The sequence below is a fragment of the Homo sapiens genome, chromosome X (assembly GCF_000001405.40).
Source record: "Homo sapiens chromosome X, GRCh38.p14 Primary Assembly".
Lineage (NCBI taxonomy): Eukaryota > Metazoa > Chordata > Mammalia > Primates > Hominidae > Homo > Homo sapiens.
Window position 1 is genome coordinate 119,961,182 of NC_000023.11, and position 15,133 is coordinate 119,976,314.

At 42.9% G+C, this 15,133-nt stretch overlaps 1 long non-coding RNA gene across 1 annotated transcript; it reads left to right on the forward strand.

Annotated features, from left to right (window-relative positions):
* The first annotated feature begins 7,146 nt into the window (after positions 1–7,146).
* On the forward strand, positions 7,147–10,950 carry LOC124905209 (uncharacterized). The gene is made up of 2 exons (XR_007068312.1): positions 7,147–8,109; positions 9,274–10,950. It is a non-coding gene; the product is annotated as an uncharacterized LOC124905209 (long non-coding RNA).
* The last annotated feature ends 4,183 nt before the right edge of the window (positions 10,951–15,133 follow it).

The window sequence follows — 15,133 nt, forward strand, 5'->3', positions numbered from 1 at the left end:
TACTGAGCTTCTAGAAGTTCATCAGAACAGTTGTTCCTACAGAGTGTTCCTACTCGTACTGGCTCCAACTGTGGGTTTCTGCTGATGGCCTTCTACTCTTGGTAAATGGTAATTCTCTGTATCTGCCTGTCTGTCTCTAGTTTTCATGCCTTCCACTGTAATTCTCTGATATATCTAGGAAGAGTTATTTTTAGTTTGTTCAGCTTTTTTCTTGTGAGGACAGGAATGATGACTTCCAAGCTCTTTACGTGTTGGACTGCAAACGCGCAAGTCCTTGTCTTGCTGTTTAAAGTGTGAGAATTTGAGGTTTCCAAGATGGCCGAATAGGAACAGTTCCAGTCTACAGCTCCCAGTGTGAGTGACGCAGAAGATGGGTGATTTCTGCATTTCCAACTAAGGTACCGGATTCATCTCAATGGGGCTTGTCAGACAGTGGGTGCAGCCCACGGAGTGTGAGCCGAAGCAGGGCAGGGCATCGCCTCACTTGGGAAGTGCAAGGGGTTGGGAAATTCCCTTTCCTAGCCAAGGGAAGCTGTGATAGACGGTACCTGGAAAATCAGGACACTCCCACCCTAATACTGCACTTTTCCAATGGTCTTAGCAAACAGCACACCAGGAGATTTTATACTGCGCCTGGCTCGGAGGGTCCCACGCCCACGGAGCCTTGCTCACTGCTAGCACAGCAGTCTGAGATCAAATTGCAAGGTGGCAGTGAGGCTGGGGGAGGGGCGCCTGCCATTGCTGAGGCTTGAGTAGGTAAACAAGGCGGCCGGGAAGCTCGAACTGGGTTGAGCCCACCACAGCTCAAGGAGGCCTGCCTCCCTCTGTAGACTCCACCTCTTGGGGCAAGGCATAGCTGAACAAAAGGCAGCAGAAACTTCTGCAGACTTAAACGTCCCTGTCTGACAGCTTTGAAGAGAGTAGTGGTTCTCCCAGCATGCAGTTTGAGATCTGAGAATGGACAGACTGCCTCCTCAAGAGGGTCCCTGACCCCCGAGTAGCCTAACTGGGAGGCATCTCCCAGTAGGGGCTGACTGACACCTCATACAGCTGGGTGCCCCTCTGAGACGAAGCTTCCAGAGGAAGGATCAGGCAGCAACATTTGCCATCCTGCAGTATTTGCTATTCTGCAGCCTGTGCTGGTGATACCCAGGCAAACAGGGTCTGGAGTGGACCTCCAGCAAACTCCAACAGATCTGCAGCTGAGGGTCCTGACTGTTAGAAGGAAAACTAACAAACAGAAAGGATACCCACACCAAAACCCCATCTGTACGTCACCATCATCAAAGACCAAAGGTAGATAAAACCACAAAGATGGGGAGAAACCAGAGCAGAAAAGCTGAAAATTCTAAAAATCAGAGTGCCTCTTCTCCTCTAAAGGAACACAGCTCCTCACCAGCAATGGAACAAAGCTAGATGGAGAATGACTTTGACGAGTTGAGAGAAGAAGGCTTCAGACGATCATTAATAACAAACTTCTCCGAGCTAAAGGAGGATGTTTGAACCCATCACAAAGAAGCTAAAAACCTTGAAAAAAGATTGGAGGAATGGCTAACTAGAATAAACAGCATAGAGAAGACCTTAAATGAATTGATGGAGCTGAAAACCATGGCACGAGAACTACGTGACGAATGCACAAGCTTCAGTAGCCAATTCGATCAAGTGGAAGAAAGGGTATCAGCGATTGAAGATCAAATGAATGAAATAAAATGAGAAGAGAAGTTTATAGAAAAAAGAGTAAAAAGAAACAAACAAAGCCTGCAAGAAATATGGGACTATGTGAAAAGACCAAATCTATGTCTGATTGGGGTACCTGAAAGTGATGGGGAGAATGGAACCAAGTTGGAAAACACTCTGCAGGATATTATCCAGGAGAACTTCCCCAACCTAGCAAGGCAGGCCAACATTAAAATTCAGGAAATAGAGAATGCCACAAAGATACTCCTTGAGAAGAGCAACTCCAAGACACATAATTGTCAGATTCACCAAAGTTGAAATGAAGGAAAAAATGTTAAGGGCAGCCAGAGAGAAAGGTTAGGTTACCCACAAAGGGAAGCCCATCAGACTAACAGCTGATCTCTCAGCAGAAATTCTACAAGCCAGAAGAGAGTGGGGGCCAATATTCAACATTCTTAAAGAAAAGAATTTTCAACCCAGAATTTCATATCCAGCCAAACTAAGCTTCATAAGTGAAGGAGAAATAAAATCCTTTACAGACAAGCAAATGCTGAGAGATTTTGTCACCACCAGGCCTGCCCTAAAAGAGCTCCTGAAGGAAGCACTAAACATGGAAAGGAACAACCGGTACCAGTCACTGCAAAAACATGCCAAATTGTGATGACCATCGATGCTAGGAAGAAACTGCATCAAATAACAAGCAAAATAACCAGCTAACATCATAATGACAGGATCAAATTCACACATTACCATTTTTTTTTTTTTTTGAGACGGAGTCTCGCTCTGTCACCCAGGCTAGAGTGCAGTGGCGCGGTCTCGGCTCACTGCAAGATCCACCTCCTGGGATCATGCCATTCTCCTGCCTCAGCCTTCCGAGTAGCTGGAACTATAGGCGCCTGCCACCACGCCTGGCTAATTTTTTGTATTTTTAGTAGAGACGGGGTTTCACCGTGTTAGCCAGGATGGTCTTGATCTCCTGACCTCGTGATCCACCCACCTTGGCCTCCCAAAGTGCTGGGATTACAGGCGTGAGCCACCGCGCCCTGCCCCACACATCACAATATTAACCTTAAACGTAAATGGGCTAAATGCTCCAATTAAAAGACACAGACTGGCAAATTGGATAAAGAGTCAAGACCCATCAGTATGCTGTATTCAGGAGACCCATCTCATGTGCAGAGACACACATAGGCTCAAAATAAAGTGGTGGAGGAAAATCTACCAAGCAAATGGAAAACAAAAAAAAGCAGGGGTTGCAATCCTAGTCTCTGATAAAACAGACTTTAAACCAACAAAGATCTAAAGAGACAAAGAAGGCCATTACATAATGGTAAAGTGATCAATTCAACAAGAAGAGCTAACTATCATAAATATATATGCACTCAATACAGGAGCAGCCAGATTCATAAAGCAAGTCCTTAGAGACCTACAAAGAGACAGAGTCCCACACAATAGTAATAGGAGACTTTAACACCCCACTGTCAACATTAGACAGATCAACGAGACAGAATGTTAACAAGGATATCCAGGAATTCAACTCAGCTCTGCAGGAGCTGGTTTTTTTGAAAAGATCAACAAAATTGACAGACCACTAGCAAGACTAATAAAGAAGAAAAGAGAGAAGAATCAAATAGACACAATAAAAAATGATAAAAGGGATATCACCACTGATCCCACAGAAATACAAACTACCATCAGAGAATACTATAAACACCTCTACACAAACAAACTAGAAAAATCTAGAAGAAATGGATAAATTCCTGGACACATACACCCTCCCAAGACTAAACCAGGAAGAAGTTGAATCCCTGACTAGATCAATAACAGGCTCTGAAATAGAGACAATAATTAATAGCCTACCAACCAAAAAAAGTCCGGGACCAGACAGATTCACAGTCAAATTGTACCAGAGGTACAAAGAGGAGCTGGTACCATTCCTTCTGAAACTATTCCAATCAATAGAAAAAGAGGGAATCCTCCCTAACTCATTTTATGAGGCCAGCATCATCCTGATACCAAAGCCTGGCAGAGACATAACAAAAAAAGAGAATTTTAGACCAATATCCCTGATGAACATCGATGCAAAAATTCTCAATAAAATACTGGCAAACTGAATCCAGGAGCCCATCAAAAAGCTTATCCATGATGATCAAGTTGGCTTCATCCCTGGGATACAAGTCTGGTTCAACCTATGCAAACCAATAAATGTAATCCATCATATAAACAGAACCAAAGACAAAAACCACATGATTATCTCAATAGATGCAGAAAAGGCCTTTGACAAAATTCAACAGCCCTTCGTGCTAAAAACTCTCAATAAACTGGGTATTGATGGGACGTATCCAAAAATAATAAGAGGTATTTATGACAAACCCACGGCCAATATCAGACTGAATGGGCAAAAACTGGAAGCATTCCCTTTGAAAACTGGCACAAGACAGGGATGCCCTCTCACCACTCCTATTCAACATAGTGTTGGAAGTTCTGGCCAGGGCAATCAGGCAGGAGAAGGAAATAAAGGGTATTCAATTAGGAAAAGAGGAAGTCAAATTGTCCCTGTTTGCAGATGACATGATTGTATATTTAGAAAACCCCATCATCTCAGCCCAAAATCTCCTTAAGCTGATAAGCAACTTCAGCAGTCTCAGGATACAAAATCAGTGTGCAAAATTCACAAGCATTCCTATACACCAATAACAGACGAACAGAGAGCCAAATCATGAGTGAACTCCCATTCAGAATTGCTTCAAAGAGAATAAAATACCTAGGAATCCAACTTACAAGGGATGTGAAGGACCTCTTCAAGCAGAACTACAAACCACTGCTCAACGAAATCAAAGAGGACACAAACAAATGGAAGAACATTCTATGCTCATGGATAGGAAGAATCAATATTGTGAAAATGGCCATACTGCCCAAGGTAATTTATAGATTCAATGTCATCCCCATCAAGCTACCAATGACTTTCTTCACAGAATTGGAAAAAACTACTTTAAAGTTCATATGGAACCAAAAAAGGGCCCACATTGCTAAGACAATCCTAAGCCAAAAGAACAAAGCTGGAGGCATCACGCTATGTGACCTCAAACTATACTACAAGGCTACAGTAACCAAAACAGCATGGTACTGGTACCAAAACAGAGATATAGACTAATGGAACAGAACAGAGCCCCCAGAAATAATACCACACATCTACAACCATCTGATCTTTGACAAACCTGACAAAAAAAGAAACAGGGAAAGGATTCCCTATTTAATAAATGGTGCTGGGAAAACTGGCTAGCCATATGTAGAAAGCTGAAACTGGATCCCTTCCTTACACCTTATAGAAAAATTCATTCAAGATGGATTAAAGACTTAAATGTTAGACCTAAAACCATAAAAACCCTAGAAGAAAACCTAGGCAATACCATTCAGGACATAGGCATGGGCAAGGACTTCATGACTAAAACACCAAAACCAATGGCAACCAAAGCAAAAATTACAAATGGGATCTAATTAAACTAAAGAGCTTCTGCACAGCAAAAGAAACTACCATCAGAGTGAACAGGCAACCTACAGAATGGGAGAAAATTTTTACAATCTACCCATCTGACAAATGGCTAATATCCAGAATCTACAAAGAACTTAAACAAATTTACAAGAAAAAAATCAAACAAACCCATCAAAAAGTGGGAGAAGGATATGAACAGACACTTCTCAAAAGAAGACATTTATGCAGCCAAAAGACACATGAAAAAATGCTCATCATCACTGGCCATCAGAGAAATGCAAATTAAAACCACAATGAGATACCATCTCATGCCAGTTAGAATGGCAATCATTAAAAAGTCAGGAAACAACAGGTGCTGGAGAGGATGTGGAGACATGGGAACACTTTTACACTGTTGGTGGGACTGTAAACTAGTTCAACCATTGGGGAAGACAGTGTGGCGATTCCTCAAGGATCTAGAACTAGAAATACCATTTGACCCAGCCATCCCATTACTGGGTATATACCCAAAGGATTATAAATCATGCTACTGTAAAGACACATGCACACGTATGTTTACTGTAGCACTATTCACAGTAGCAAAGACTTGGAACCAACCCAAATGTCCATCAATGATAGACTGGATTAAGAAAATGTGGCACATATACACCATGGAATACTATGCAGCCATAAAAAAGGATGAGTTCATGTCCTTTGTAGGGACATGGATGAAACTGGAAACCATCATTCTGAGCAAACTATTGCAAGGACAGAAAACCAAACACTGCATGTTCTCACTCATAGGTGGGAATTGGAGAATGAGAACACTTGGACACAAGATGGGGAATATCATACACTGGAGCCTGTCATGGGGTGGGGGGAGGGGGGGAGATAGCATTAGGAGATATACCTAATGTAAATGACAAGTTAATGGGGGCAGCACACCAACATGGCACATGTATACATATGTAACAAACCTGCATGTTGTGCACATGTACCCTAGAACTTAAAGTATAATAAAAAAAATAATAATAAAGTGTGAGAATTTGGCCAGGCACAGTGGCTCAGCCATGTAATCCCACCACTGTGGGAGGCTGAGGCAGATGGATAACTTGAGGTCAGGAGTTTCAGACAAGCCTGGTTAACATGGTGAAACCAAGTCTCCACTAAAAATACAGAAATTAGCAGGGCATGGTGGCACTTGCCTGTAATCCCAGCTACTTGGGAGGCTGAGGGAAGAGAATGGCTTGGGCCAGGCGCAGTGGCTCATGCTTGTAATCCCAGCACTTTGGGAGGCTGGGGCAGGTGGATCACTTGAGGCCAGGAGTTTGAGACCAGCCTGGCCAACATGGCGAAACCCCATCTCTACTAAAAATACAAAAATTAGCCGGATGTTCTGGCGGGCGCCTGTAATCTCAGCTACTTGGGTGGCTGAGGCAGGAGAATCACTTGAACCCGGGAGGCAGAGGTTGCAGTGAGTGGAGATCACACCATTGCACTCCAGCCTGTGCGACAAGAGTGAAACTCCATCTCAGAAAAAAAAAAAAAGAATCACTTGACCTTGGAGATGGAGGTTCTAGTTAGCTGAGATCATGCCACTGCACCCTAGCCTGGGTGACAGAGTGAGACTCTGTCTCAAAAAAATAAATAAAATAAAGTGTGAGGAACCAGTTAGAATGGCAATCATTAAAAAGTCAGGAAACAACAGGTGCTGGAGAGGATGTGGAGAAATAGGAACACTTTTACACTGTTGGTGGGACTATAAACTAGTTCAACCATTGTGGAAGTCAGTGTGGCGATTCCTCAGGGATCTAGAACTAGAAATACCATTTGACCCAGCCATCCCACTACTGGGTATATACCCAAAGGACTATAAATCATGCTGCTATAAAGACACATGCACACGTATGTTTACTGCGGCATTATTCACAATAACAAAGACTTGGAACCAACCCAAATGTCCAACAATGATAGACTGGATTAAGAAAATGTGGCACATATACACCATGGAATACTATGCAGCCATAAAAAATGATGAGTTCATGTCCTTTGTAGGGACATGGATGAAACTGGAAATCATCATTCTCAGTAAACTATCGCAAGAACAAAAAACCAAACACCGCATATTCTCACTCATAGGTGGGAATTGAACAATGAGATCACATGGACACAGGAAGGGGAACATCACACTCTGGGGACTGTTGTGGGGTGGGGGGAGGGGGGAGGGATAGCATTGGGAGATATACCTAATGCTAGATGACGAGTTAGTGGGTGCAGCACACCAGCATGGCACATGTATACGTATGTAACTAACCTGCACAATGTGCACATGTACCCTAAAACTTAAAGTATAATAAAGTAAAAAATAAAAAAATAAAAAAAAATTTAAAAAAAGTAAATAAAGGGTGAGGATTTTAGACTTCCATGATGTTGTACACTCATCATACACTGCTTCACACAGGGAAAAGGACGTTGTGTTTTCTTTGATAAATAGCAGCTTAATCCACTGTTAATTGTTTTAAAGAATCACTTTTCATTTTTATTTTCTTATTGTATTATATGCATCTTATGTTATATATTGCCTTAATTTTTAAGATGACAGAATAAATGGATGAATAAATGAATATCAAAAAAGGCAGTTTAAAGCAATGAAATGGAATCTATTTAATTGGTCTGGGTATAAGAACAAATGAGAAATATTTGGTCCATATCCAATGGTTTAATCTCCTTAATTTTTATCCAGAACTAACCCCGTATCTTTGGCATTTTGCAGAAATAAGGATTCACTTTAATATCACTATGCAATATTTCTGGATCATAATCCACCTCAGGGAAGGACAGATTTGGTTATGGAGACCTCGGAAGTCCAAGTCTCTATGCTAAATAGACAGCAGAAGAACCAATTTAACAGCTTTCAATATTTCTGTCTGACTCCCTGTTGGAATTGCAGTTTTGATGTGGTGAGTAGGCGCATAGAATTAATTGGACATTCTTGGAAATATTTTGTGATTCAAATGAAGAAATAGGAGAATCCTGGATGTTTCCTGGGGTGTTGGGCTTGGGGACCTGGACTGGGGCCAATCACATTGTGAGATGCCCCTCCCAGTCCTGACTTTCCCTCCTTCTTAATCAATATTTCAATCCTTTTAAGCCCCAAGATGACCAACTGAGTTAAAAGGCAGGTAGGTGAGTGAGAAAAAGAGAAAAGACAGCCCCACTGCTTGACCTTGTGATGGGCCTGTAGAATGAGATCTTAGAAATTCATTTGCATATGAACCCTAATTCTGTGTTTCCTTTCTCCTACAAAGCCCAGTTGACCACAGCCATTTTTTTGTGCCTCACTGGCTAACACTCAGAGGATGCCTTACTCTAGCTCCCCCTTACTACAAAGCTCCCTAAAAGTGAACATCACCTCTGGACTCACTCATTGCCATGGATTTCTTTCTCCCCTAGGTTTCCGCAGCCTCCTTTTCCACTTCGGATTTGAAAACATCTTTTGTTTCGTCTTTTTTTCCCCTTGTTCAAAAAAGAAATGGATAGAGATTCTTCCTTGCTTTCTACCTTGCCTCCATTTTTTTTTTTCTTAATCCAGAATTCTTGGGCCTAGCATAGGAAAAAGTAATGCTCCAAATCTGCACGTCTCATAGTGGCCCTAATTTTATCTGGGTGCTGTGCTTGGGATGAGTCTAGGCACATCAGTTATGGTGCCTATGCCTAAATGTCACCACTTCAATCTCCTGTGTCCCTTGATTGTGAAAGTAAGAGCGTGTGTACAAGGCACTTTTTGTAAGAGCCTGTGTAGGAGGCACTTTTTGTATTCCTAGAATCTAAAATACTGGCATGTAAATGTTAGGAATTCACACATTGACTTTAAGATCTACCCTTTGGTTGGATGTGGTGGCTCATGCATGTAATTCCAGCACTTTGGAAGGCTGAGGTAGGAGGACTGCTTGAGGCCAGGAGTTTGAAACCAGCCTGGGTAACAAAGCGAGACCTGGTCTCTACAAAAAAATAATTTTAAAAAGATCTACCCTTTGTATGGCCGGGGGGGGGGCGGGGGGCGGGGGGCGGTGGATCCAGCCCATTGGTGTGTAGTTGATAATTAAATTTTGTTCATACCATAGTGTTACCGGACGAGGGTGTCCAGGTTCCTGGCGTTTTGAACAAAGAATTGGACAAAACACAGAAACAAAGCAATGAAGCAATGAAGCCACAAAAGCAGAGATGTATTGAAAACGAAAAGTACACTCCACAGGGTGGGAGCAGACCCGAGCAGCCACTGAAGGGCCCAGTTACAGAATCTTCGCGGGTCCAAGTACCCCCTAGAGGTTTTCCATTGGCCACTTGGTGTTCACCTTATGTAAATGAAGTGGTGGCTTGCAATCAGTCTGATTGCAGAGAGCAACCAGTCAGAGGCTGAGTGAAGTTACAAAGTTACACTCCCATGCAAACGTCTGATTGGTTGCAAAAAGCAACCAATCAGAGATACTTTTAATTTCCCATCTGCCAATGCAGAAAAATGGGGGTTTGCAAAGGGAGTAGCCACTTGTCCTTTTGTCCTTTTGTTACTTAGGCATGGAAAGTTAGGGTTTTCCTTTCAATTTCGTTTTAGGAAGTCAGCGTGAAATGGCCTTGGGTTCCCTGCCTCCAGACCTTATTATTCTGCCTCAGTTGCACTCAGGGTCCCTGTCCCATAGTTCTGTGCTGATATCTGAGATATCAAGTGTGATATTGACTGAGGCAAACGACAAATTACCAATTCCAAAACGAATACTAATTGCATAATAACAGTTTCCAAGCTGTTAGTCTGCTTTCCTAAAAAAGCTAATTTAACACAAGCACAGAACTGGCTCTTGCCCATGGGTTATATTTTCGGTTGGCAGATTTTGCTTTGCAAAAAGATTGGGGGAAATGAGGACTGTTGTAGAAGAAGCATACTTGGCCTTTTGTGAAGAGGGTACAAATTGCATCAACCTCTCAAGGCCTGAAAGTGTGAACACAAGGACACTTAATACCTTCAAGAGAGGTCGATTACCTTTCCCAGAGGTAAAATGACCTAGTGCTTTGGCTTGAGTGGGATCCTTGAATTTTCAGCCCTTCGAAGGAGAGTTTTGTGCAGGATGGAGGTGCTTGAGTGCTGAGGAACTGAACCTGGGTTGGTACGCATTGTCCATAGGATTCAGGGCCCAGGGGAGGGCATGGTCACTAAATGGCTGATCCTCTCTGGAATGAAACTTTAGAAAGCAAAACGCAAAATTTTTTGATTACTATAGAATGCTGAAGTTACTGGACTCCTCCTGAGATTATGTTCATAACTTTTTAGCTGAAACTAACATCTACAAAGACCATCTATCTTGGATGAACCTATTTTCTGGTAACCAGTGTTAAATATTTTTTAATCAAAAATTTAAAACTTGCATTAGAATAATTTCTGATTTTCACCTTTTTAAATAGAATTTTTTAAAATATATTTTTTAAAGATGAGGTCTCACTACATTGCCCTGGCTGGTCTGGAACTTGTGCACTCAAGCAGTCCTCCCACCTCAGCCTCCCAAAGTGCTGGGATTACATGTGTGAGCCACAGTGCCCAGTTTGATTTTTGCCTCTGAAATATTTGAAGTATATTTTAAAATACATGCTTTTTGTGGGATTACATTTAGAAGACTTCTCTTTTTTGAAACTTAGAAAGAGTGGAAATTATTATCCGCAGCAGTGTTTTTGAATATTACCTTTGCCTCATGCCTTAATTCTTGTGGAACCTGGAAGAAGTAGAGATGCATTAAAAATAGTATATGTATCAACCAGGCGCCGTGGCTCATTCCTGTAATCCCAGCAGTTTGGGACGCCGAAGTGGGTGGATCGCTTGAGCCCAGGAAGTCGAGACCAGCTTGGGCAACATGGTGAAACCCCATCTCCACTGAAAATACAAAAATCAGCCAGGCATGGTAACGCATGCCTGTGATCCCAGCTACTTGGGAGGCTGAGGTGGGAGGATCCCTTGAACCTGGGAGGTGCAGGTTGCAGTGAGCTGAGATCACGCCACTGCACTCCAGCCAGGGTGACTGAGTGAGAACAGGTCTCAAAAAAAAAAAAAAAAAAAGTATATATATGTGTCTCTTGAAGACCCCGTCAGTTATGGGAAAGGGTATTCACTATTCTTTCCCAGACAGCCTGAGCATGAAAAAAAAAAGTTCTGTTAGTGTGTGTCAAATTGAATGTTGGTGTTAATTGCAGGATTTGTGGGGAGTAGTTGTCCAGCTTTCAATCTCAATATGGCAAAGCCATGTGCTCAACTGTGAACACAGGTTAGAAGAGGTCAGAACTCAGTCTGATGGTGTCCTGTGGCTTTTATCTTTATAGATCCTGTAGTTCTGTTTTGAGGGTACTTATAACATTGAGGAAGCTGATGTTTAAAAAGAACAGGTGCCAACATTGGGAAATAAGAAATGTTGGTTTCAAAATTTTCTGGTGAGGATGGCAGTGGGCATGCGCAGGTGCATTCCTAGATGTTCCCCACTCCCGCCAGGCGCTGGGGGCTCTGGGTAGCAATAACCTCCTCTCTGTGCAGAAGTCCCACATTACATGCAACTGCTTTGTTGACATTTCGTATCCACAACTGTGAAGGTCGCAGAGTGAGATAGTGGGCAACACAGCAAAAAAAATGCATGCTTTCCTAAGAAAACAGAGCCTCACTTTACACTGGGAACACACAGGTGCTGTGAAACTGGACTTTGATTTTTCCCGTGAGAGGAAATTCTGATGGAACTATGGCACTTATCTTAGCAATCACTTCATAGTGCAACCTTGGTGCTCACAATTAACCACTTTTTTTTTTTTTTTGAGACAGAGTCTCGCTCCATTGCCCAGGCTGGAGTGCAGTGACACGATCTCGGCTCACTGCAAGCTCCACCTCCTGGGTTCACGCCATTCTCCTGCCTCAGCCTCCTGAGTAACTGGGACTACAGGTGCCCGCCAACACGCCTGGCTAATTTTTTTGTATTTTTTTTAGTAGAGACGGGGTTTCATCATGTTAGCCAGGATGGTCTCGATCTCCTGACCTCGTGATCCACCCGCCTCGGCCTCCCAAAGTGCTGGGATTATAGGCGTGAGCCACCCCGCCCGGCCCACAATTAAGCATTTTTAATAGCAAATGAAAAGCCTTGCATTTCTAGAGATTGCTCAAAAGCAAAGGCTGTATTGAGAAGAACTTAATGCTTTTTAAAAAGTGGGCCTGGCCTCCTTCAGCTCTCCCATTTTTCTTTTTCTTGTTTTCTATTCTGGCAGTTGCACGGGAAGAAGACAGCATGAACAATTTACTGCCTGTTCCAGTGAATGATGAGTCTGGATCACTGTTCAGGGGACTGTCTCTTTGCTTTGAGTCCCAATAACCCCAAATATTCCCTTTCTATTTTTAATTAGCAGGAATTCAAGATCTCTTAAGGATGAAGAGAGCAACAAAATACATTGGAAGTTGTGATTGTCAGTTTTGAGTTGGGGAAGGTGTAATAATATGCCTTCTGGGCTGGGGATGGGGGAGAAAAGGGAGAACAGCCTCATTCTGGCTTTGGTGGAGTTTCCTCTCATGATTCTTCTGAAGCAGCAGGACCTTTGGGCCGGAATGGCTCCTATTCTCCTGTGTCCCCCACAAAAAGGGAGGGCAGTGGACAGAATTTGGAGCATGTCGAATCAATGCTTAGCTGTTGCCTTCGCATAAATACTGAGTAGCCACTTAGGAAGCTTCCCCTAGAGTCCGGAGTTGGGCATGAATGTTCCTATTAGCACGGATGGGGCTCTACTCTGTCTGAAAACACAGTTCTCTCACTAGGAACTCACCCACCCCATCATGCATATGTATGTGGTCCCAAAGGGTAAGAATGAGGATGGGGTGATGGAGAGCAGAGGAGAAAAAGTATGGGTCAGTAAACACACAACGGGTACCTGGAGAACTTCTGTGAAGTGCAGGGCCTATTCATGCTGACGCAGAAAGGTCACCTCATGAAAAGAGGACTCCTCACCATTCTGTTTCAATGTCATTCCCTTATAAATACCAATCCATACATTATTAACCCCATTTGATACACACACAGACACACACAAATGGGGCACTGACTTTGTTTATTTGGCATTTGGTGAACTGCTCTTGATGTTGTGCTCCGCACAATTAAAATCTGCCAGAAAAACACTTTGGAAACTGTCATGAAGATAGTACCTTAGAGAAGGGGGACTACAAAATGACGGCTGATGACGGGGGCTCATTCCAGGCCAACTGGGGCCAGGCCAAAGGAAGGCAAGGGCAGACGAGGCATAGGTGGCATCGGCAGCCTGAGCAGTGGTGGCTCCAGAAGAGCCCATCTCCAACAGGGCTCTGGAACACGGATGACATGATAGGGCCCATCCAAGATTATGCCTACCCAGTGGCTCAGGGCGACAGGGCCACTGTCATGTTATTTCTGAACATTAATTAATGTCTCCTGATATCTCCTCTACTTGACTCACCTATTTTTATTTTTGTTTTATTTTATTTTTTTGATATATTTAATTTTGTTAACTAAATCTTAAGTTTAAATATTGACAATGTCACACTTGAATTATTGAATATATTTAACTTTATGAAATATGTTGCTCTAAATATGCATATTTAGTTTAATGTGTATTGTTTTATGTAGATAACTTAGAGATAATTTTGTATTTGTCAGTAATCCTAACCACAGAATGTTACAGTTTTCAGTGGCACTAACACTTTCTTCTCTAAGAACATTAAAATAAATGAGCCAACTGGAATAATGCCAACACTTCTAATTATTGGGCCTTAGGAGTAAATAGATCAATTGAGAACTATGTCTTCTAAAATAGCAAGCTTAGAGATGTGCTCGGATGTGACAGGTGCTTGTTCCTGATGACAAGGGTGAATGGCCTTGTAGGACTCTTTAAGGAGATTGCACGTTAGCCTAGGTTTTGTAATAGCCAGTCTCCAAGATGGTCCTCAGTGATCCTTGCCTGTTGGTATTCATGCCCTTGTGTAGTTTCCTCCCATATTGAATTAGGGTTGGCCCTCTGTGACCAATAGAATACAGCAGAAGTGATGGTGGGCCTTCCAACGCTGTCATGAAATCCACTGATGCTTCTGCTTTGGTGTCTTGGATCACTCACTCTGGGAAAAGCCAGCTACAATCCTATGAGGATCCTGAATAACCACTGTAGGAAGGCCCATATGGAGAAGAAGGAAGGTGTGCAAGCAACAGCCAGCACCACTTTGCCAGTCACGTGAATTAGTCAGCTTGGAAGTGAATCCTTCAGCCCCACTCAAGCCTTGAGATGACTGCAGCCCTGGCCAAAATCTGATTGCATCCTTCTCAGAGCAAGAACTTCCAGGCCAAATTCTTCCAAATTTCCTGACCCATAGAAACCATGAGAAATAATAAATGATTATTGTTTTTCTAACCCACTAAGTTTTAGAATAACATGTTACTGATACAGAAGGTATGGAAGTGATGTGACTCATTCAAGGAATTTTTGTTTTGTTTTGTTTTCGGGTTTTTTATTTTTTATTTTATTCATTTATTTATTTTTTTTGACAGGGTCTCACTCCTGTCATCCAGGCTGTAGTGCAGTGGTGCAACTATGGCTCACTGCAACCTTGACTCCCTGGGCCCAGGTAATTCTGCTACTTCTGCCTCTCAGGTAGCTGGGACCACAGGTGCACACAACCACCATTGGCTAATTTTAAAATTTTTTGTAGAGATGGAGTCTTGCTATGTTGCCAGGGCTGGTCTTGACCTCCTGGGCTCCAGTGAGCCTCCTGCCATGGCCTCCCAAAGTGCTGGGATTACAGACATGAGACACTGCAGCCAGCCATAGGCCTGGATTTAGAAACAACTCTGCCTGAGGCCAGGCATGATGTCTCACGCCTGTAATCCCAGCACTTTGGGAGGATGAGGCAAGAGGATCACTTGAGGTCAGGAGTTCAAGACTAGCCTGGCCAGC